The 22997-nt window shown below is 44.8% G+C and overlaps 2 protein-coding genes across 29 annotated transcripts in view, besides 2 other annotated features; one reads left to right on the top strand and one right to left on the bottom strand.

The window, feature by feature from the left end:
- Positions 1 to 15124, bottom strand: part of NIPAL3 (NIPA like domain containing 3) — a 59460-nt gene extending 44336 nt beyond the window's left edge. For 11 of the 23 annotated variants that reach the window (NR_136508.2, NR_136506.2, NR_136507.2 and 8 more), the window contains exons 1-2: positions 12744 to 12846; positions 9008 to 9357 (exon numbers count right to left, since the gene is read on the bottom strand). Coding sequence is in view for 14 of the 23 variants with exons in the window: in NM_020448.5 (NP_065181.1) it covers positions 9008 to 9100 (93 nt within the window). In the remaining 9 variants the exon portion in view is untranslated. Of the gene's footprint in view, positions 1 to 9007; positions 9358 to 12348; positions 12624 to 12743; positions 12847 to 14873 lie in introns of those variants that run through there. The other 12 variants (NM_001322864.2, NM_001322861.2, XM_017001868.2 and 9 more) reach the window with 7 other exon arrangements.
- Positions 8865 to 10064: an enhancer, noted in NCBI's record as "CDK7 strongly-dependent group 2 enhancer chr1:24745074-24746273 (GRCh37/hg19 assembly coordinates)". NCBI's record gives its function as "activates an origin of replication core promoter dependent on BRD2, BRD4, P300/CBP, MED14 and CDK7 cofactors, with strong dependence on CDK7, by STARR-seq in HCT116 cells {active_cell/tissue: HCT116}" and the evidence as "EXISTENCE:reporter gene assay evidence [ECO:0000049][PMID:35650434]".
- STPG1 (sperm tail PG-rich repeat containing 1) overlaps positions 13604 to 22997 on the top strand; it is a 58046-nt gene continuing 48652 nt past the window's right edge. For 3 of the 6 annotated variants that reach the window (NM_178122.5, NM_001199013.2, NM_001199014.2), the window contains exon 1: positions 14866 to 14974. The gene's annotated coding sequence lies outside the window, so the exon portion shown is untranslated. Of the gene's footprint in view, positions 13738 to 14844; positions 14975 to 22997 lie in introns of those variants that run through there. The other 3 variants (XM_011542403.3, NM_001199012.2, XM_047433681.1) reach the window with 2 other exon arrangements.
- Positions 15251 to 15370: an enhancer, noted in NCBI's record as "active region_400". NCBI's record gives its function as "activates an Ori minimal core promoter by ATAC-STARR-seq in GM12878 lymphoblastoid cells {active_cell/tissue: GM12878}" and the evidence as "EXISTENCE:reporter gene assay evidence [ECO:0000049][PMID:35858748]".

The raw sequence follows: 22997 nt of genomic DNA, 5'->3' as shown, positions 1-22997 counted from the left end.
GAGAGAAGACCCAAAGACACAGGAGAAACTGTCATTTTTAGGCTTAGGTTCAACAAAGTATGGACGACTGTGTAGAAATATGATTGGACAAAGGGGCCTGATCTAATGCTGATTGACTGAGTGGGGAACCCAGCCAGGTCTGTCTGTTGAGATTCTTCTCAGCCTCTCTGGGCAGCATTCCTTCCTTACATGAGTCAGGACCCTCTCTGGAATGGGGGTCTTCTGACCTATGATCAAACAAAGGTCTGATAATTTCCTTATGGCCAATTTTTACAAAAAAAAGTGGAAGAAAATTAGAGTAATATTTTAGGTTTTATAGCTGGCTTTGGGGAAAGGTTCTGGTGTCTCTCTCTCTCTCTCTCTCTCTCTCTCTCTCTCTCTCTCTCTCTTTCTTTTTGAGACAGGGTCTCGCTCTGTCAGCCAGGCTGGAATGAGGCTGGAATGCAGTGACGTGATCTCAGCTCACTGCAACCTCCATCTCTGGCTATCAAGCCATACTCCCACCTCAGCCTCCTGAGTAGCTGGGACTACAGGTGCATGCCATTGCACCCAGCTAATTTTTGTATTTTTAGTAGAGACGGTGTTTCACCATGTTGCCCAGGCTGGTCTCGAACTCCTGGGCTCAAAGGCTGCCTCGGCCTTCCAGAGTTCTGGGATTACAAGCATGAGCCACCTCAGTGCCTGCAGGGGTTGTGGTTTCTATGACCTGCCCTGGGGAAGAGGGATTGTAGATTCTATGGCTAGCCTGGTGGAGAAGCGGGGCCAGAGAAAGGAGAGCAAGAAAAGGTCAGAGAGGAACTTTTGCTTCTGAGGCTTTCTTTTTCAGGTATGGTTTTCTGATCCCCGATAGTTACTATGATAATAAAGGCTGGTATTGATGGAGCACATGGTGTGCTAAGCCCTTTCTGTGCACCCTTCTCTTAGGGCCACAAACAACACTATGAGATGGGTGTTACTATGAGTCCTATTTTTAGCATCTAAGCCTGACTTCCAGCCTCTTGATGATAATTACTCCTCCAGACTGTCTCCATTGTGTTCTGTGAAGTGTCCTTCAAAGGTGGCACAATCAATTAGGAAAAAAAAATAACCTTATCAGTGCCACATTTCCACTAAGGACACAGATGGCTGAGGTTTCTTTTAAAAGCCATTTCCATAACATATGAATGTCCACATGTAATAACCAGTTACAGACAGACATGATTAGCAATAGCATAATATAACTCCACCTAAGCATTTCAAAGGGCTTCATCAACATTAATTATGCCCCCAAACCCTTGTGAAGTGATGACGGGTCCAATTTTATGAGCATTCAAAGACAGGCCAAGAAGTTGCCACCAGCCCTGGGCTACACTGCTTGTACACACACCTACGAGGCACCCTGCAGTGCCTGGCATAGGGCAATGGGGAGGCAAGGATGACTCCTGCCAGCAAGCTCTTCCTCCAACCCTCAGGTTGGAAACCATAAATGCGGGTGCCCAGTTCTGCTGCAGGGAGGGAATGGGTAGTGCCTGGCCAGCTCCCACCTCTGGACCCCGCTGGCAGCCTTCTCTACCTATTCTGCTCCTCTTTTTCCTGAGGAACCACCTTGTATGTCTTCACTGGGGTTATTTTAGGGGTGGAGCATTCACAAGTACACGTGCATGGTTAACACAGAACAGGGATATTCCACCTTGCAATCAGTGACTTTGTCCCTTAAGCAAAGACACGGTGCAAACTGGAACATATGGTTCCCAGCTGACAGGCAGGGGTGAGAACTGTCTTGGGTGGCTCCAGGCTTGGGCACTGCCAGATCAGGTTGATTCTTCTGAGGCAACACCCAATCAGGTTCCCAACTTTTCTCGAGTTGACAAGGCAGAGTAGAATTGACACTGTCCATTGAGGTGGAAGAGAGGGGAGAAGGCAGGCAAATATCTCAGGAGCTGCTCCCAGTGGAGATGTGTTACCCAAGAAAGCCCAAGACTTGGCCAAAGTCACGGAATAAGCGACTGTCAGGGTCTCCCCACACCGCTCTGGTTCCAGTATTTTATGGGTGAGGAAGTATGAGGCCTCCCAACTACCAGGAGCCTTATATTTAGGATAACTGTACACCTTCCAAATAGGAAGACTCCTCAGATCACCTGAAGTCAGCAGTTCAAGATCAGCCTGGTCAACATGGTGAAACCCTGTCTCTACTAACAATACAAAAATTAGCTGGAGGTGGTGGCACACGCCTGTAATCCCAGCTACCCGGGAGGCTGAGGCATGAGAATCACTTGATCCCAGAAGGTAGAGGTTGCAGTGAGCCAAGATCACGCCACTGCATTCCAGCCTGGGCGACGGACTGAAACTGTATCTCAAAGGAAAAAAAAAAAAAGGAAGACTCTTGAGAATGAAAGGGGGCTCTATTAACATACACAGGCATAAGGCACAAACCGGGACCACGGTCACTCTACCCATGCTGCAGTCTCTCAATGGAGTGTTACTGGCGAAAGAAGTGAGGTGAAGGCAAAGCTACTCACCCCAACTACGCTACCCATTGACTGTGTGGCCATGGGCAAGTTAATTAACCTCTCTGCGCCAGTTTCGTCACAGGTAAAATGGGGTTATAACCGTACCTATCTCATGAGAGCTTTTGTGAGGATTAGCACAGTTCCTGTTCTATAAGTAAATAATGTTAGTTGCTTTTATGATGATGATTACAATAATCATTGTTAATTGGCTATGAAAGGGTGGCTAAAGGACCTATATTTTATTGCCAGGAAGACTGACAAAGGCTTCATGGATGAAAAGGTGACACTTGCGCTGGAAGGCTGGGTAGGATTTCCGAAGGCAGAAGCAGGGGGTGGTGCAGGCAGCTTCGGTTTGCTTATCTGTAAATTCCGGTCATTCTCATAACTACCCTATAGGATGGGTATAAGACTTACCCACAGAGGCATTACATGATTTTCCCCAAGTTATAATGCTAGAAAATAACAGAGCTGGTGCAGAGAGCTATAATCACTATGCACTCAGCCTGGGCCACACAGGAGACTCTGTCTCCTAAAAAGATAAGAAGAAAGGTAATAGGGCCAGGGATTGGAGCCAAGTCTCTGATTCCAAAGGTCATGCTCTTAACACTCTGTTGTATCTCTATTTTTGTGTCGAATTCTGTCTTGAGGGGTAAACACTTGTGAAAATGTATCTTCCCCACCTCCCTCCTAGACTGTAACCAGGGAAGATCTGTCTTGATGATTTATATTGGGGTGTTCAATCTTTTGGCTTCCCTGGGCCACATTGGAAGAAGAATTGTCTTGGGTAACACATAAAATATGCTAACACTAATGATAGCCACTGATGAGCTTAAAAAAAATCGCAAAAAAAATCTCATAATGTTTTAAGAAAGTTTATAAATTTGTGTTGGGCTGCATTCAAAGCTGTCCTGGGCTGTGGGTTGGACAAGCTTGATCTATATAGCTCCCGCCCCACCCAGCACAAGCTGGAGAGAGTAGGTGCTCAGATGAAATGTCTACTCACTCAACAGAAGAATTGAGACCTGACTTTTCCCAGCTGAGGTAAAGCTTCCACAGTGTCAATGTCCTGCTGGGAGCTGCTTCCTGGGCAGCTCAGCCTGGGGGGCTTCCTGTAGCAAAGTGCCCTCCCCAGCAACCAAAATTTATACGCTGATGGGCAGGGCAGAGGGCAGGGCTGAAACTCAAAGGCAGACAGCTTGCTCCTAACTTCATCCCACCCATCAAGCTGGACTTAAGAGTCTCTCAATATTTTCCTCCTCCCAAAGGTAAGAGATGAGTTGCGAGCAGCCTGCCCAGCCCACATGACCACTTTTCTGAGACCTGCCCATAATGGTAGAGCCTCAGAAACCATGTCTGCCAGGTGGCATCAGCTGGGTGGCACTCCCTGGCCATCACCGACTGGACCAGGTAGACACCTTACCCAAGCTGGCCACTCAGGTCTTCCCTCTTTTAAAGGGGAGGTATGAGTTCTAGAACCTTCCAAGCCCCATTGCCTTTCCTGCCACTGGATTTCATGAGCTACCCTGTAGCCTTATAATAATTTCCCTTTTTGCCTCAGCTTCTCTGAAATGGGTTTTTACTCCTTGCAATCAAAATAGCCTTAACAAAATCGAGAAAGGAGATGGCTTTCCCTCAAAACCCCTCTCCCCATCCCCACGCAGAATTAACCACACCGTCCCCTCTACTCTGTGTACCTTCATCTGTTCCTCTTGGAAACCCCGTGGCATTTCTGAGTCACATATTTCCAGCATGCCTAGTGCATGGTCAGACACTGTGTTAGGTGCTTTTTCATTGATCCACACAGCCGTTGGGAGGGAAGGATGAAAACCAACATTCTACAGATAAGGCAACAGGAGCTCTGCAGGGTTGTACCATACACCCAAGGTCACTTAGCTAAGAAGGAACACTGGGGATTTGGACCCAGGTCCTCTTCTCTTTACCCCACCCAGTACTTCAGTCAACTCAATCATCATCACAACCATGCCTGTCCCTCACCTCAATTCATACATCCTTGGTAGAGTCACCATGAATTCAGCTTTGCTCTGGCATGAAGATATTCCATACTAGGCAACTGAATTGAATTTGTGATTAAAATGGAAACTTACTAGAAATCTCATCAGGGAGAGTGCTCTGAGTTTTCTTAGATTCTTATATTTGTCCATTTGGCATTCATTCATCACAGGGCCAATTGTATTAACTGATTTTTTATATTCTAAGGAGCATGCCTTTCATATGCTAACTAACCAATCCAGAGCTGCAAACATCTCCTTTATTAAATAAACTCTCACACCCCAGATCAATATTTTCCCTGCTCTAAATCAACCCAGGGCTACGTACCAGACAACCCAGAGTTCTTCAAATCAGCCAGTCCTAAACTGTTCGCCATCTTGCCATGCCTTTCCCACAGAAAAACACAATAAAGGCTCTGATCTAAGCTTTCCCCACATGCCCTCTGCTTCTAACCAACTGACCTTGGTGTGTCCCGTGTGGCCCTCTGCAGCATGATATGCCTTTTTTGTGTGTGTGTGTGAGGCGGAGTCTCGATCTGTCCCCCAGGCTGGAGTGCAGTGGTGCGATCTCGGCTCACTGCAAGCTCTGCCTCCCGGGTTCACGCCATTCTCCTGCCTCAGCCTCCCCAGTAGCTGGGACTATAGGCACCCGCCACCGCACCCGGCTAATTTTTTTGTATTTTTGAGTAGAGATGGGGTTTCACCGTGGTCTCGATCTCCTGACCTCGTGATCCCCCTGCCTCGGCCTCCCAAAGTGCTGGGATTACAGGCGTGAGTGCCTCCTTCTTTTAGGAAATGTAAGCAACAAAAATCTTCTTCAATGGCATTAGCCATCCATGGAGTTACTCTGTCATCTCCATAAATTAAGGCCCAGGGAAAACTCAAGAGAACAGCTTCTATCATTACATTAGAAATGGTGTAGACTCTGAATATCGAAAGCAGAATGGAATGTTCTGGTTCCTTCACAGAATGAAAGCACTCAGCACCTTCAATATGTAAGGCAGTATTCACTCAAGCTGACCAGTAGCTCCTGAATTTCCTCTGAAGTCAAGACTGTGCCACCATCAATGTGTTTTCTGACTTGAAGAGAGGGTGATTACCCCTGCGGGGAGGGGAGTGACTAGCAGGGGCACAAGGAGACTTTTGGGTACTAGTAATGTTCTGTTTCTTGATTAGGGCGTCAGTAACATGTATGCACCCTCTTCATTAAAATTTAACATCTAGAGCTTATGATTTGTATATTTTTCTGTATGCATACCATATGTCAATAAAAAGGCTAGATAGGAAAAGTGTTTTCTGATTTGAAACCCTGTTCCATTTTGAATAATGCTCTGTGAAGCACGTGGACACCTCCAAGGATGCGAACAGTAACACTGCCTACTTGAGAAGAGTGTTTTGCTCACTTTGAATATCAGTGCTGCTAAGACGTGGTGGCCTGAGATCTTGATTTCTCAGGATGATGGAGTTGGTGTGGGAAGGAGCTTAGCAGATCATGTGGTCCAGAAATTCCCACACCTGGCTGATTATCTGATTTACCTGAAGAGGTTTTACAAAATGCACGTTCTGGGTTTCTAGCCTAGCTATGCAAAACCACAATTTGCAGGGGAGTAGAGACGAGGGGGTAAAAGGGTGAAGGCAGGGAGAGATGAGTCTGAGGCCTAGAAATCTGCATGTTTTAGAGCTCCCCAGGTATTTCAGGTGGTTAGGCAGGATTGGGGACCATCTATGAACTCTACCTCTTCATTTTACAGAGACAGAAACTGAGGCATAGAGAAGGGATGACACTTGCCCAAGATCACACACCCAGAGATGACAGAGCTGGCCCAAGAACTCAGGTCTCCCAGTTCTCAGTCTGATACCCTTCCCAACAGAGCCCTAGATGAATACAGTAGCTGCATAGGAAGGGGAAACAACAGGCTTTCATGGAAAGAAGACCAAGGAGCGAGATGCCAATGCTGAAACAATCATGCCATCTTGGCTCTGAAACTGGTTTGCTTGGTGAGGCAGAGTCCACTGAGAATGTCAGAGTCAATCTTCGCTCTAGAATGAGTCTAATTCCAGACAAATGTTCATAATTTCCATACATATTCCATCTGGCTGGTCAGAAGGAATTAAAATGACAAAAGCCTTTAATGACCTGCAGAGTCCCCTCCTTGGGCATGCTGGGATGCGGTGGCAGCAGCAGGAGTCAGGACACCGGAGAGTCAGAGCAGCGCCGCAGTTAGGAGCATGGGTTCTGCAGCTGGTCTGACCCGGGTTTAAATTCTGGTTGCACAACTTACTAGTTGTGCCAGTCAGGGCCATTACTGAACTTCTCTGTCTCAGTCTCCTTGTCTCTAAAGTGGGGATAAAGATGGTAACAGCTAGCACTTGACAAACACTGGCCATTATGTGTGGGTCATTGCCTAAGGGCTTCACATGAATAAATTCATTTCATCCTCACCACCACCAGGAGGCAGTTACTATTCCACAGAGGAGGAAACCTGGACCTACTGTGTAGTGCTAGTGTGAAGATTACTCAAGGAAAGGCATGTGACGAACTCAGCACAGTACCTGGGATAGAATAAATGCTCAATAAATATTAGTCACTGTTATTATGATCATCATTATTATCTAAAATTAACAATAGTTCTAGCTCTTCCTCTCAACTTGCTATAGGATCTTAAGAATGTCGCTTCTCACCTCCCAGCCTCACTGTTCCAGTCCATCAAATGAGAGGTTTGATGAGATGATCTCTAAAGTCTCCTTTAGCTCTACGGTATTAGCAGTCACTGATCTTTTTTTCTTTCTTTTTTTTTGAGGTGGGGTCTCACTCTCTCACCCAGGCTGGAGTGCAGTGGTGCAATCTTGGCTCACTGCAATCTCTTCCTCCCTGGCTCAAATGATCTTCCCAAGTAGCTGGGACCACAGGTGGTCCTACCACACCTGGCTAATTTTTTGTATTTTTTGTGTGGTAGGTGCCCTACCACACCTGGCTAATTTTTTGTATTTTTGGTAGAGACAGGGTTTCATCATGTTTGCCCGGGCTGGTCTTGAACTCCAGAGGTCAAGCCATCCACCCGTCTTGGCTTCCCAAAGTGTTGAAGTTACAGGCATGAACCACCACACCTGGCCTCTCTGATCTTTAAAAAAATAATTTTCAATAAATCCCAGTAATCAGATGCTGCACTGATAGGTATTTAGGAACACTTAAATTTGTCATTAAAATCCCCTTGTTAAAAAAGGTGCATTCCCTTTGACCTATTCGTTGTACCTATATGACTATATCTAAGGAAAGGATCAGAGATCAGCACAGAGATTTACACTCCAGGATGTTCATGGTTTACAGCCACTCCAGATTAGAGACAGCCTGAATATCCAGCAATGAGGATCTGTTGAGCAAATTTTGACACAGCAGCTCAACGGATTATTGGGCAATCATTCGAAAAGTATGCTTTCAGTCACTACTTGATGACATGGGGAAATATTCCACAAGTAAGGTCAAGTTAAACAACCAAGATACAAAACTTTATGTGCAATGTGACCCCAAATTTATAATACTAGAAAAAAACAAGGAGATATACTGAAATCCGAATGAAAATTATCTCCAAGTAATGGAGTAGGTGATATACATACATACCTATATATATATATACTTTTTTTTTGGCATCAGGGTCTTGCTCTGTCACCCAGGCTAGAGTGCAGTGGTGCAATCATAGCTCACAGCACCCTCAAACTACTCTTAGGCTCAAGCAATCCTCCCGTCTCAGCCTCCTGAGTAGTTAGGACTACAGGCACATGCCACCACACCTGGCTAATTTTCAATTGTTTTGTACAGGCGGGGTATCACTATGTTGCCCAGGCTGGTTTCAAACTTCTGGCCTCAAGAGATCCTCCCGCCTTGGCCTCCCAACGTGCTGGAATTACAGCCATGAGCCACCACAACTGGCCCAGAGTAGGTGATTTTTTAAAAATCAAATCTTCTAAGTGGGAATGCATTCCTTTTATTCTATACCTTTTATGGTGTTTCTCTGCCTCCCTATTTTTATGTATTTTAATGAGCATCTCTTTTTTTTTTTTTTTTCCTTTTGAGACAGAGTCTCACTCTGTCACCAGGCTGGATAACAGCGGCACCATCTCAGCTCACTGCAACCTCCACCTCCTTGGTTCAAGTGATTCTCCTGCCTCAGCTTCCCGAGTAGCTGGGACTACAGGTGGGCACCACCACGCCCAGCCAATCTTTGTGTTTTTAGTAGAGACGGGGTTTCACCATGCTGGCCAGAATGGTCTCAATCTCTTGACCTCGTGACCCGCCCACCTCCCAAAGTGCTGGGATTACAGGTGTGAGCCACCACTCCCGGCCCATCTCTTGTCTTTTGCTTACACATTCCCTTGTCTGTGTGAAGAGCCTGCCTGTTTCTACCAGTGACAGGCATGCAGACCCCATACATATCTGTTAGCCAATGCAGAGCACTGTGTAACTTCCTTGCTAGGAAAATACAAATTCCCAAACCCCAAAAAAGCCCTTGCCTTGTAGGAGAAGGAGGCCTCGCTTACGGCGCTGGAGCTACTTGTGGGAGGCAGCTGCTGCAGCTTCAGGGCTGCGCTGTGGGATCCGTCCATGGTGGTCTAGTGGCGCATCCCACAGGGCCTGGCCTAGGAGGTGGAGCTGCTGCTAGGCGGGGCCCAGGCCAGATGCCATCTCTCCTTGTGGTGTTCACCTCCCTCCAGCAGCCGTCACTTCCTCATGACAAAAGAATACTTCAAGGCTGTTTTGGCAGATTTACAGCCTTCTCCTCAGCTTCACTCAGAGAAGTGCCAATTTCCGTGGCTCTCCCAGGCAGACAGAGAGGGGTGTGTTTTCCAGTTCTTGCGGTGCTCTAGGGTGGTGGAGAGGAACATTAAAAATGCATGGACAAGGAAACACTGAGCCCAGCTTTGTTATCTGAGAAGAGAATACCATTCAGATAAAACGTAACCGGCCATGACAAGTGAGTCCATTAAAAAAATTCTTCAAAATTCAATTCTAGCAGTTAAAAACAAGTCCTATCATGCCTTTGTCCTCCCCTTAATACAAACCTGACTCATCTATCTCAAAAGCTTTCTCCCTGGCCCTTAATGTTCCCTTTCCTCCTCCACTCTGCTTCCTTCCTCCCATCGCACCCTAACTTAAATCCTCCCTTTTTCCATAGCTCTTGAGCACAAGAAGTAGAATACTAACTTCTCCAGGTCTCAAAAAAAAAAAAAAAACAATTCCACTACCACGAAAAGGGAACTATTTAAGTTTCAGCTTAGGAAGAAAAGAATCAGAAGAAAAGCTACATCCATGGAAAACAGAAGAACTGGCCTGCTACCGAGGATTGGCCTGACACAGGTGAGGTGACACTGGTCTCGGAGGTGGAAAACCTGTGTGACCAGGTAACTCTGCCTCTCAGAGATTCAGTTGCCTCCTCTGTAAAGTGGGGGTAATAATGTGGCCTCAAATAAACCCAGCAATGATGAGAATCCCTACTAATTTCATCGGACTTATATTTTCAGTGCTTCCCGAACTTTTCCTTTTTTTGGAGACAGAATCTCACTCTGTCATCCAAGCTGGAGTGCAGTGGCACAAACATGGCCTCAAGCTGGGCTCAAGCAATCCTCCCTCAGCCTCCCAAGTAGCTGGGACCTCAGACGCGTGCCACAAGGCCTGGCTAATTTTTTTGTAGAGACAGGGTTTCGCCATGTTATCAGGCTGGTCTTGAACTCTTAGGCTCAAGCAGTCCACTTGCCTCAGCCTCCCAAAGTGCTAGGATTACAGGTGTGTGCCACTTCTCAAAATTTGCTACCAAACAGAGAAGAGAAAGTATACTTCTAGTGTCCTAGGAGGCATGGCCAAAACCCTGCTTAAAAGTGTTAGGGTTTTCTTTGAGGACTTTTTATACATTTTTTAGAAATGTATTCTACTGCATAGTCTATGTTTATTTTAATAGAAAAATGTTTTAAATTGCTTTTGATGTGCCATGTGCTACCTGTTTTACCTTTGCCAGGTCATTTAACTTTTCAGCCAGTTTCTCCAGCTGTGAAATATAGATAATAATGTTCCCACTCCACATGGCAGTCATGAGAATTTGATGAAATCATACATGTAAAATGCAGGCATAGCAAATGGTCCATGAATGTGAGCTGCTGTTAAGATTAATTTTATTCTCTCCTGTTTAATTATTTATTTTGTCCATTCCTTTCTCTCTCATGCATTCATCCAACAAATATTTACTGAGGGCTCACTGTGAGCTAAACAATTTCTGCCACTCCCTGAGGCTTCAGAGAGCTGCCTCCTGTGTATCCTGTAGCTTCCAGTTCCTTCTGCTATCCGGCCCTAGGCCCAGGAATTCTGGTTCATGGTGTGGACAGCACATACATATGTGATAAGGGGAACACCATGTCCAGTCCTGGGATACAACAAATGCAGGTTTAGCATAGGGACAGCTACAGAAACCATTTGGCTTGGTTTCACTTTGTCAGAGGGCCTCAGGATGAAATTATTGCTACTACCTGCAGACGAGGTTATATATCCAATATACAGACATGAGATGTAAGCATTCACCGGGTAACTTTATCAGGTAATTCACATCCCATAGCTAGACTTCCCTGCCTGTAAAACCCTATGAATATGTGTTTGCAATCTTGTGGAAAGCATAATTGTTCACTATACTTTCACGTACATGTGAAAAGCATTATTGTGTTACATTTCTGTAAAAATGTTTTAGCATTTGTAATAATCATAAGAGCCTTAAGAGTGGCTCAGGGTTCTTTCTACCTCTGAGAGGCCCCGGGAAGCATTCAACCATGAAGCAGTCATGGAGTTGAGGAGCGCAAACTCCAGTGAGGTGTTTGCGGAATACCCTGTTCAGTTGCTCCCAGCTGAGATCTAGCCCAGAGCCTGACAGTGACTTCTATACATACCAACCAACTGACTAAATGAGATCTAGCCCAGAGCCTGACAGTGACTTGTATACATACCAACCGACTGACTAAATGCAGGCTGGTTAAGCACTGGGTGCACTGTGGCCCCTTCGCAGTCAAGAATGCCTTTCTAAGGCCTAATCAACCACAACTCCAGAGCTTCAACAAGCAGATATACTCAGCCCCACCCACAGGAGGTCAGAGAAAGCCAACAGACCTTAGCGACATGTCAATCAAGGGAGTGGTGGGAACCCAGGCCTCCTAACATCCTTCAGAGTAGTTTGCCCAAGTGCTTTTCTGGTTTTGCTTTTGTTTGTGGTGGTTGGCATTGCTGTGGTTTAATTTTTCTTTTAAAAAGCAGCTTCCCTCTCTGCCTCAGGAACTCGCAGGCCTCTGAAGCATCGCCTGCAAAGATTGAAGGCTCTCCCTCAGCTGGGTGGGAGTCCGGACTGAAAGCCTGGAGGAACCCTTTGCAAGCTGTACTCCCTTATAAGACACATACTTTTCACCTGGTGACTCTCTTTTCCTGATTTCGAAGCATTTCTTCAGGACCTACATATGCCCGAGAGGCAAGCAGTCACCTCTGCGTTGTCAACCACCCCACAATTAGAGCACGTGGTCACTGACCCAAGGAAGGAATGAGAATTCACTAGGTGCTCTGCTTCCATTCCCACCCCGTTTATCTCGATGACGGATTTCACCAATCCCACAGAGCACGTTTTACAAATGAGACAGCCGTGGCTCATAGCGTCTGTATTCGAATTTGCCTCTTTCTGAACAAATCAATAAAACACGCTCTTTCCCACCACCCGACGATCTGGCTTCTGGAGGTGAGCGCCAGTTCCCTGCCAAGCTTCCCGTTCCTCGGCTTTGGCTCACGAGAAGGTTACATTCTTCCGTCCCGTCCCACTGAGCTGGAAACTTACAACTCGAGGAGACAGCACCTCTGTTCCAGAAGCGGGCTTAGACCAAGAACGCCTCCCCTCATCCCACCTGCTAACTCCACCATCTGCTGCCGCCAGGAAGCCCGAGCCGCTCGGCACGAAGAGGAGAAATTCTGGCAAAGTTAACTCCATGTCACTTCCTGGTTTGGTAGAGCCTGGCATCACCTTTAGTAAGGTAGCCCATGCCCCCGCTCCTCTTGGCCTCGATGCAAAACTGGAAAGAACATTCCAAGGCAACGGGACCCAGGTTGGCGAGGCTGGTGACAGTAAGAAGGAAGGGTATGTACACTAGGGGACGTTAGGTGACTTCGCTTTTTCCAGAAAAAAACGAAGGTTAAATTCAATTCCCCTTCCTCCCGGTGTTAATCACTACTCACCGGCGGCGTCTCCTCTAAGGCCCACCTATCAAAACCTTCTGAGAAATGACTCGGACTCTTCGTGCAACCCGGAGGCACAGCCTCCTTCATCCCTTCCCAATTCAGAGCTGCCAAGATGCTGCAGTGTTTTGCTTTCAAAGGTCGCGATTTGATTTGCCAGACTGCCTGCCAGTCAGAAGTTGGCAGGCATTTCGCGCAGGCAAGTGGCTGCGAGGACGGGGAGTAGGCGGGACAGCCCCTGGCAATTGGCTGCGCTGCAAAGCTTGCTTGAAGCATAAGGGAGCGACCTGGGGCTAGAGCTTGGCGCTCACCTGGAGCGGGGACCCCCTAGCGGCCACAGGAAGAATGGTGCGGCGACTCCCCTGCCCCCTCTCCCGCTGTCCCAGAGAGCTTAGGTGGTTGCTCGCCTCCACCTGCCCGGCAGGTGGGCCTGGTTTTAGCAGCCTGCCAGGTGTCCTCCCTTCTTATCCTCATAGCCACCTTCCGGGCTTTGCTCCTGCTGTTCCCCTACCCGACGCTCTCACCAAGTATTCAAATCCAAAACGTCCTTGAAGACCCAGCGCTCCCCAGAGCCCTCGCGAGACTTGGGACCAAACATATCTCTCCTTTCCTGCCCTCCTGGAACACCTGTCGGATACCAAGCCTCCCAGCAATACTGAAGGTCCTGAAACGAGCCCAGCGCTTGGTTAATGTTTCTATAATGTACATAATTATCACGGCCATGATAATTAACATGCGCATGGAGTTTTACAGATGACAAGCTTCTCATCGCTCACACGTTGTCATATACACGCATTTGCTTTCAGATCGTCACAGCCATGAGTGAGACTTGAAGCCCGTTTTACGTATGAAGAAATGTCATTTGGGCCTAGACATCAACAATGAGAAAGAGGCAGTTCTAGTCTCAGATCGTGGGGCAGAGAAAGCTCCTTGGGAACATGGGAGAGGAACGAGTTGGTGCATTGTAGAAACTGCCCGAAGGCCAGCAGGGCTGGTGAGAGATTTTTCTGGGGGCGTGGTTGGGCCTGCGATCTGAGGGACGGGCCAGGGACAGTTTATAAATAACATATTTGGGGGCCGGCGCGGTGGCTCACACCTGTAATCTCAGGACTTTGGGAGGCCAGGAGGATCACTTAAGCCCAGGAGTTTGAGACCAGCCTGGACAATATAGTGGGACCCCATCTCTACAAAAAAATTTAAAAATTAGCCGGGCGTGGTGGCGAGCGCCCGTGGTCCCAGCTACTCAGGAGGCTGAGGCGGGAGGATCGCTTGAACTCGGGAGGCGGAGGTTGCAGCGAGTCGAGATCGCGCCACTGCACTCCAGCTGGGCGACAGAGCAAGACCCTGTCAAAAAAAAAAAAAAAAAAAAAAAAGCTTGGATTTCACCCTAAATTTAAAGGCGAGCCATTGGAGGACTTTAAGCAGGGGAGTGACAAGGTCGCTGAGACCGCCCTGCCCTGAAGCGTGTGAAGAGGGGCTCCTGGAATACTAAGTGGCTGCCCTTGTATAGTCGCCCATGTCAATTTTTTTTTTTTTCTTCTGTTAGAAACAGGGCTTGGGGCCGGGCGTGGTGGCTCACGCCTGTAATCCCAACACTTTGGGAGGCCGAGGCGGGTGGATCACCTGAGGTCAGGAGTTCGAGACCAGCCTGGCCAACGTGGTGAAACCCTGTCTCTACTAAAAATACAAAAAGAATAGCCTGGCGTGGTGGCGAGCGCCGGTAATCCCAGCTACTCAGGAGGCTGAAGCAGGAGCATCGCTTGAACCTGGAGGGCGGAGGTTGCAGTGAGCCAAGATTGCGCCACTGCACTACAGCCTGCTCGACAAAGCGAGACTCTGTCTCAAAAAAAAAAGAAACAGGGCTTGGATGAATGTTAATTCTTTTAGGTATATTCCTTGAAGCAGGATTTTTGAGTGAGCAAAATTCTGAGGCTTTTGGTTTATCACAAGATTTTTGAAGCATGGCCTAGATAAACCTCTTATTAGTTCCCCACCCCGCTACAGGCCCTGATGTAATTAACCTAAGCCCTAAAATTCGGCCGGCTTCTCTGCGGACTTTGAAACGCCTCTAATGATTGGTCAACAACTTTTCACGTTAAAGAAACAGAGGATGCCATTGGCTGGAGTTACCTCGCGGACGGCGGAAGGTGGACTCGCGAATGTTAGGCCTGTGGGTGCCATAGCGACCGGGAGGTTGGGCTGGCCAGATTCAGCTGCCGGGACCGGACCAGGTAGGAAGCAGTTCCGGCGGGGGGACCGGTCCCTGAGGTCGTGGGGAAGAGGACACGGCGCACCATGTCCTCCGCATGGGACGCCCGCGGAGACCCCCCGGCCTCCGGGTGCTTGCGGAATTCCAGGGCTGAGCTAGGTGGAGCCCCGAGGGCGGGAAGAAGCCACCATGGGAGTTGCCCCTGCGTCGGGGCGTGTCCTCGGTGTTTCCACCCGAAAAGTGGTGACAACTGGGGCTTGCCTGCTCCACCGAGCTCCTGCCAGGGGCGTGGGCGTCCGACCCTTCTGGCTCAGGCTCCGCGAGTGCGCAAAAGTTGGGAGGCTTCAGTGCCTGGCAGTGGGTGGACGCCAAAGACCTGATCTCTACTCATAGGTTCACCCCAGCTCAGGGGGTGTCCCCCAGCAAACGACTTCCCTGCTCTGGGCCTCGATTTACCCATCTGTAAAATAAAAGGGTGAGATTGGAACCTGGTGGTCACTAGCCCGCCGCTAAATTTCCTTCCAGCTCCCTGATACACTTTCTCAGCCTATGAAGACTATCGAATGGGTTATTTACCTGAGAGTGCTTTGAAAAAATGTAAGCTGCTTCCAAGATGCTTATAACTGAGTAGATAAAAATCGCCTACAGACGAAACTACTCAGGACATCCAAAAAAATTCTATCTAAAGTAACAGTATACATAGTTTAGTACATGTTTATATACCCTGTACAGTAACATGTATAATGTAAACTGTAATACTTAGCATATATAACGTTTTTTAAAAACACAAGAGATGATAAAATGAAACTGTGCCTATAGTTGTGATCATGTGAGCTGTCCTTGTAGAATCTAACTCCCGCTGGAAATATATTCTGAGCACAGCTGTACACACAATTGCTAAAAGGTGTCTACCTCTAGTATTCATTCATTCATTCATTCCACCAATATTTATGAAGAAAATACTAATTTTAAAAATTCTCAATACTATTATTATTATTTTTGTAGAGACAGGGCCTTGCTATGTTGCCCAGGGTAGTCTTGAACTTCTGTCTCAAGCCATCCTTCCCCCTCAGCCTCTCAAAGTGCTGGGATTACGGGTGTGGGCCACCATGCCTGGCCAATTGAGCAAATACTGTATGTGAGGAAATAGACTGAAGATTCAGAGTTGAACTTTCTACTGGGGAAGATCATAAACAAATAAAGTAATAAACATACAATATAATGTTGGGTAGTGAAAAGTGCTTTGAAAAAGATAAAGCAGAGTAAGGGGCTAGAGAGAGATGGGTTGGTGCTTCTTAAGAGAGGGTGGTCAGGGAAGTCATCCCTAAGAAGGTTTGAGCAGAGAGTCTCGTGAATTTTGTGACAGGACTGCAGGACGATGCCTGGGTCCGGTGAGGAAAGGAGCTCCCCATGCAGCAAGGAGATATGTGGCAAAAGCCAGGGAGGTCCCATGTGGAGAAGAAGATTAGTCTTTAGGTGGTGGGGCACGACAACTGCCTTCAAATTCTTGCAGAATAGTCATATAGAACAGTGGCTTTCAAACCTTTTGACTGTGACTCATGGTAAATGCATTTTATATTGTGACCCAGCATGCACACACGCATATGACAAACTAAAACTTCACAAAAGACTACAGACTATGACTTGCATTTTGAAAATCACCAATGTGGAAGAGAAATGAGACTTACTTTGAGTTGGTTCCAAGGGTGGGAATTAGGACGGATAGAAAAAGAAAAAAAGAGAGAGAGAATCAGCTTTGATACAGGAAGGAACTTTCTAGCAATTAGAACTGTCCAACAGTGAACTTCCCCCAGGAGTTTTTAAACTGTGTTCTGATGAAACCTAGCATTCTGTGAATATTCAAGAGAGTCAAATATTTGCCCCCACCCAGCCATCCCTTATTTGCTTTATATTTTGAAAACTATATGCAATATTGTAACTTCAGAAACCCAACCAGGTAAGGCACGGTGGCTCACTGTAATCCCAGTGCTTTGGGAAGCTGAGGTGAGAAGATCACTTGAGGCTAGGATTTCGAGACCATCCTGGGCAGCATAGGTGAGACATTGTCTTTACAAAAAATTTTAAAACTAGCCAGGTGTGGTGGCAGGTGTCTGTAGTCCTAGCTACTCTGGAGGCTGAGGTGGGAGGATCACTTGAGCCTAGGAGTTTGAGGTTGCAGTAAGCTATGATTGCACCACTGCACTCTAGCAAGTGGACGACACAGCAAGATCCTATTTCTAAAAATAATAATAACAAACCAATCATACCCACTCGGGTGCTAAATGTCAAAATTTAGCAAGTTAATATTTAGTGTGTGCTGCCTGAGAGGTTATTATAGAGGTTAAGGAGTGAGTAGAAGTCAGACTTCCTGAGTTCAAAGCCTGATTCCACTTTTCTTCTAATGTGACTTTGGGCAAGTCACTTAACCCCCCACCAAACTTAAGTTTTCTCATCTGTAAAAAGTGGGGATTATACCTCACTGGATTATTATAAAAATTGCATAAGGTATTCCATAGAAGGCATTTAGGACTGTGCAGGCTCAATAAATGATAGCTATTATTTTAAGTTGTTAATACGATATCCCTGTGCGTATATTAAAACCCTACATTAATACAAGCCTACTGCAGGATAGGCAGTGTTAACCACTTCACATGGATCAGCCTAAGAGGAAGGTACTGTTATCACTCCCAGTTTATGGAGGAGGAAATAGGCTCAGAAGTTTAAGTGACTCATCGAGAATCAGAGCTATTAAGTGGCAGGCCATAACCTTGAACCCAGGACTGGATACTCTGGACTGCTGCGCTGGCCCCCACGTAGGAATCGCTTAAACATATGTTGTTGATTCGGAAAGTGGTATATCTTCACTGCTCTTTCTTAGATTCTAGGTCCATGCCATCCTGTCATGGACAGTTATACAGGTGGACCAGTGAGGCACACCTGGGCAGTGCTCTGTTCACATCTGTCCTGCACCTGCTCTCATCCTGCCTTCACAGGTATGCAGTGAGAAGACTGGAAAGCATTATTAACAGTGTGGTCTTTTGGTGGTAGGATTGGGGATTGTTTTTTATTTGTTTGTTTGTTTGTTTTGAGACGGAGTCTCGCTCTGTTGCCCAGGCTGGAGTGCGGTGGCGCGATCTTGGCTCACTGCAATCTTCACCTCCTGGGTTCAAGCGATTCTCCTGCATCAGTCTCCTGAGTAGCTGGGACTACAGGTGCACGCCACCATGTCCAGCTAATTTTTGTATTTTTAGTAGACATGGGGTTTCACTGTGTTAGCCAGGATGGTCTGGATCTCCTGACCTCATGATCCGCCCACCTCGGCCTCGCAAAGTGCTGGGATTACAGGTGTGAGCCACAGCGCTCGGCCATGGATTGCAGATTGTTTAAAGTTTTTTTGTAATTTATCATATTTTCTTAAATGTTGACAGTGTACATACATTATTATTATAGTAGTCCTCCCTTATTCAAGGGGGATATGTTCCAAGACCACCAGTAGATGCCAGTGAAACAGTGGATAATACCCAAACTGATTACTGTCAATCAGACTGTTTCTGTTCATATCTTCCACTCACAAATTTAATGCTTTTTCCATCTTAACTAAGCACTTATCATGCTCTGTGGCAACAGCTTTTTATAGTTTGAGGTGAAGCACCAAAACTAGCACCAATTTTTTTCCCCTTTGAAATTTGATGGATAGAAGTTTTATTCTTACTGTAGATCTTAGCAACCTCAGAATACAGTTTTTTTCTTGCCTTATTAAGTCAAGAACTTTCACCTTTTCACATAAAGGAGGCACTTTACAGCTTGTCTTTGGCATGTCCAAAGTGCTGGCATCACTACTCTTGTGCTTTGGGGCCATTATTAAGTAAAGTAAGAGTTACTTGAACACAAGCACTGAGACAACGTGATGGTGGATCTGACAATCGAGATGGCTACTAAGTGACTAATGGTGGGGTAGCAAATACAGCTTGAATGTGCTGGACAAGGATGATTCACATCCCAGGTAGGGTGGAGTCAGACGATAGGAGATTTCATCACATGCCTCAGAATGGTGCATAATTTAAAGCTGATGAATTATTTATTTCTGGAATTTTCCATTTAATATTTTCAAACCACAATTGACCATGGGTAACTGAAACTGGAAAATAAAGCTACAGACAAGGGTGGACTACTGTAAAACAGGAAGCTTAATATTTTTCTAATCACTCATAATTCCAGAACACTAATACATTTTTTAATAACAGCTTTATTAAAGCTAGGGCAGTAGATGGTTCTTACTAAAATGGTATAACACTGAGGGGTGGTAAATGAATAGTGGCTGCTTTGGTTATTTTTTGAGACAGGGTCTCACTTTGTCACCCAGGCTGAAGAACAGTGGCACGAACATAGCTTACTGCAGCCTTGACCTCTTGGGCTCAAGTGATCCTCCTGCCCCAGCCCCTAAGGTAGCTGGGACTACAGGCACATGCCACCATGCCTGGTTAATTTTTATATTTTTTGTAGAGACGGACTTTCACCATGTTTCCCAGGCTGGTCATGAGCTCAAGCTATCGCCTAACCTCGGCCTCCCAAAGTGCTGGGATTACAGGAGTGACCCACCACACCCAGCCCTAGGGGCTGCTTTTATAGATACTAAAAGACCTTGTTAAGCTGGATTGGTGATTGTGCTTTGATCATTATTGATTTGTTTCTGTTATTTTGAATCTCTTAATTTCTTGAAGAATGTTGTCAATAATTCTATTAAATATCAAATTTTTAGTATAGATTGTCCACCAAAAAAAAGTTGAAAATTGCTGCTGTGAGGATTACAGAATAAAGTAAGGAAAAATACTGCATGGAAAAGGACCAGTAGAGTGTAAAATCATTTATTCAATCCTTTACTCATTAGTATATATAAATGGTATAAGTTCCTTAGGGAAAAAAATGGGCAAAATGAAACCCAAGTCTGCTAATAAAAAATAATTGCTATGGAAATTAAATTGTGCCCTTGCTATTAACAACTAAAAAGTAGTTAAATGTGTTAAACAACTCACATTGGACAACAGGCACAGTACAATAATCCCTGAAGGAAGAAAAACACGGTGAGTCCTACAATTGCCCCCATTTAGTACTGGGGTCAGTTTTTAGGCCATATTGTAGGAAATCCAAATGAATTCTAGATTTCTGAGTTGAGAAGATAAAAATAAGAATTCAGAGAGGCCAAAGAGGCTAGAATTTATAGGGAGAACCCTAAAGGAAGGAGCTGCACCAAAAATGTTCAGAAACCTGAAGAGAGGTCTCCTTAAGTTTTTGGCTGAGCAGTAATCTGCACATGCATGAGAAGAAACTAAGACTGGGGAAATACCCATCAAAAGGCCATAGGCTGAACAATTTCTGGGGCTTAAACAGAACTGGGAATGTTGCATGTTACCATAAACCAGAATGCAGAGACATGGTATTAGATAGGAATTGGGTAGAGTTCACAGAAATGTCATGCCTTAGTAGTGGGGATAAATTATTCCCAGAATAAAAGCTGCTCTGGACTTGCCATAACAAAGTTTAAAAGCTTGAAAGGGTCAGATGGATCTACAAGTTACTGAAAAGTGTGCCACATCCTTTGCAGGAATATATCAAAACCCAGCACCCAGCAATGTAAAATTCAAAATGTCCAATATCTAATACAAAATTACCAGACATGAAAAGGAAAATATGACCCATATCTGAGAGGAAAATCAACCAATAGGAACAGACTTAAAAATGACAGATTATAGAATTAGTACAAAGAAACCTTAAAGCAGCTACTATGAATCTTACAAATATTCCTAAGGATGTAAAGGAAACTGAACATGATGAGGCTAGAAATAGAAGACATAGAAAAAGAGCCCAAATGTAACCTCTAGAAAGAAAAAATACAATATTTGAAATAAGAATGCAATGGATGGGATTTGCAGCTGATGAGACTTCAGAAGATCAGTGAACTTGGCCGGGCATGGTGGCTCATGCCTGTAATCCCAGCACTTTGGGAGGCCAAGGCAGGTAGATCACAAGGTCAAGAGTTCAAGACCAGCCTGGCCAAGATGGTGAAACCCCGTGTCTACTAAAAATACAAAAATTAGCCAGGCATGGTGGCAGGCACCTGTACCCAGCTACTCGGGAGGCTGACACAGAGAATTGCTTGAAGCTGGGGGCAGAGGGTGCAGTGAGCCGAGATTGCGCCACTGCAATCCAGCCTGGGTGACAGAGCGGGACTCCGTCAAAAAAAAAAAAAAAAAATCAGTGAACTTGAAGACATGACAATATAGACTACCCAAATGAAGGACAGAGAGAAAAGAGACTTAAAAATATTGAACAGAATATCAATAACCTTTGGGAAAATATGAAATGATCTAATATAACTGTAGCCCCAGGAAAGAAGGTGGCAGAGGCAGAAAAACTATTTGAAAAAATAATGGCTGAATATTTTCCAAATTTGGTGAAAACTGTAGCCTACAGATTAAAGAAGTTCATTAAAACCCAAATATTAAAGACATAAAGAAAATTATGCCAAGGTACCATGAAAATAAAATTGCTGAGAGGCACATAGAATAGTCAAAGTAATAGAAATAGAAAGTACAATGGTGGTTGCCAGGGATTGCAGGGAAAAAGGAATGGGGAAATACTGAGGAAACACCATATTGTAGGAAATACTGGGGAAGTACCATATTGGTTAATGGGTATAGCATTTCAGTTTTTCACAATGAAAAGATTTACAGAGACGGATAGTGGTGAGGGTTGCACAACATTATGAATTTGAATTCCACTCAGCTGTGCACTTAGAAATGGTTGAGATGGCAAATTTTTATGTTATGTGTATTTTACCATAATAAAAAATTAGGAAAAATCAAATTGCTGAATGAAAGTGATACACAGAAAAGCTTAAAAGTTGATGGATAAAAAAAGAATTATTACTGACAGAGGAATCAAAATAAGCATTACAGTGGACTTCTCATCAGAAACTATGCATGTCAGAAGACAAAGGAGTAATATAAAAGTTCTTGGGAGAGGTAGGAAGAGAAAAAAACCTATGAACCCATAATTCTATACTCAGTGGAAATAATTTTCAAAAATAAAAGAAAAATAAAGACCATTTCAGACAGACAAAAACCTAGAGAATGCATTATCAGAAGACCTGCACTGCATGAAAAGTTAAAAGAATTTCTGTAGATAGAAGGACTATGACACTAGAAAGAATCTTGAATTTACACAAAGAATTGAAAAGCACTGAAAATGATAAAATACTTTTTTCTTATTTTAATTTCCTTAAAAGATAATTGAGTGTTTAAAAAAATATGAGATTAATAATATATGTAGAAATAAAATGTATACAAAAGTAGCAAAAAGGATGGAAGGTAGGAAATGGAAGTGTATTTTTGTAAAATTCTTACATTATATGTGAAGTAACATACTATTGTTTGACTGTGATAAATTAAAGATGTATACTGTAAACCTTAATCACTATACATAAGTATAGCTAATATGTCAGAAATGAAGATAAAATGAGGCCATAAGTAATATGCACTTACTCTCAAAAGATCCAAAAAAAAGAGACAAGGGCCAATATAACAAGTAGGAAATTGATAGGTTTAAGCCCAGCCATATCAAGTGCTACATTAAATGTAAAAGTTCTAAACACTCCAATCAAAAGGCAGAGTTTGATTAGATTAAAAACCAGGACCTAATATATGTTTTCTTTAAAAAACCATCTCTAAATATAAAGACACATTCCTGCAAGCAGAAGTGTGAAGAAAACTCAATAATTAAATATAAAGACACAAGCAGGTTAAAAGTAAAAGGATAGAAAAAATATAGTGTGCTAATAGTAATCAAAAGAAAGCCAAAATGGCCATGTTAATATCAGAAAAAATAAGACTTCAGAACAAGGAATATTACCAGGGCTAAAGCAGGGTATTTCGTAATGATAATGGGGTCAATTCACCAAAAAGACATAAAAATTATAAATGTTCATGCACCTGGTAATAGTGCTTCAAAATACACAACAACAATTGACAAAGCTTAAAAGAGAAATA

The sequence above is a fragment of the Homo sapiens genome, chromosome 1, assembly GCF_000001405.40.
Source record: "Homo sapiens chromosome 1, GRCh38.p14 Primary Assembly".
Taxonomy (NCBI): domain Eukaryota; kingdom Metazoa; phylum Chordata; class Mammalia; order Primates; family Hominidae; genus Homo; species Homo sapiens.
Note: the sequence above shows the minus strand (reverse complement) of the source record. Positions and strands in the feature narration are given on the sequence as shown.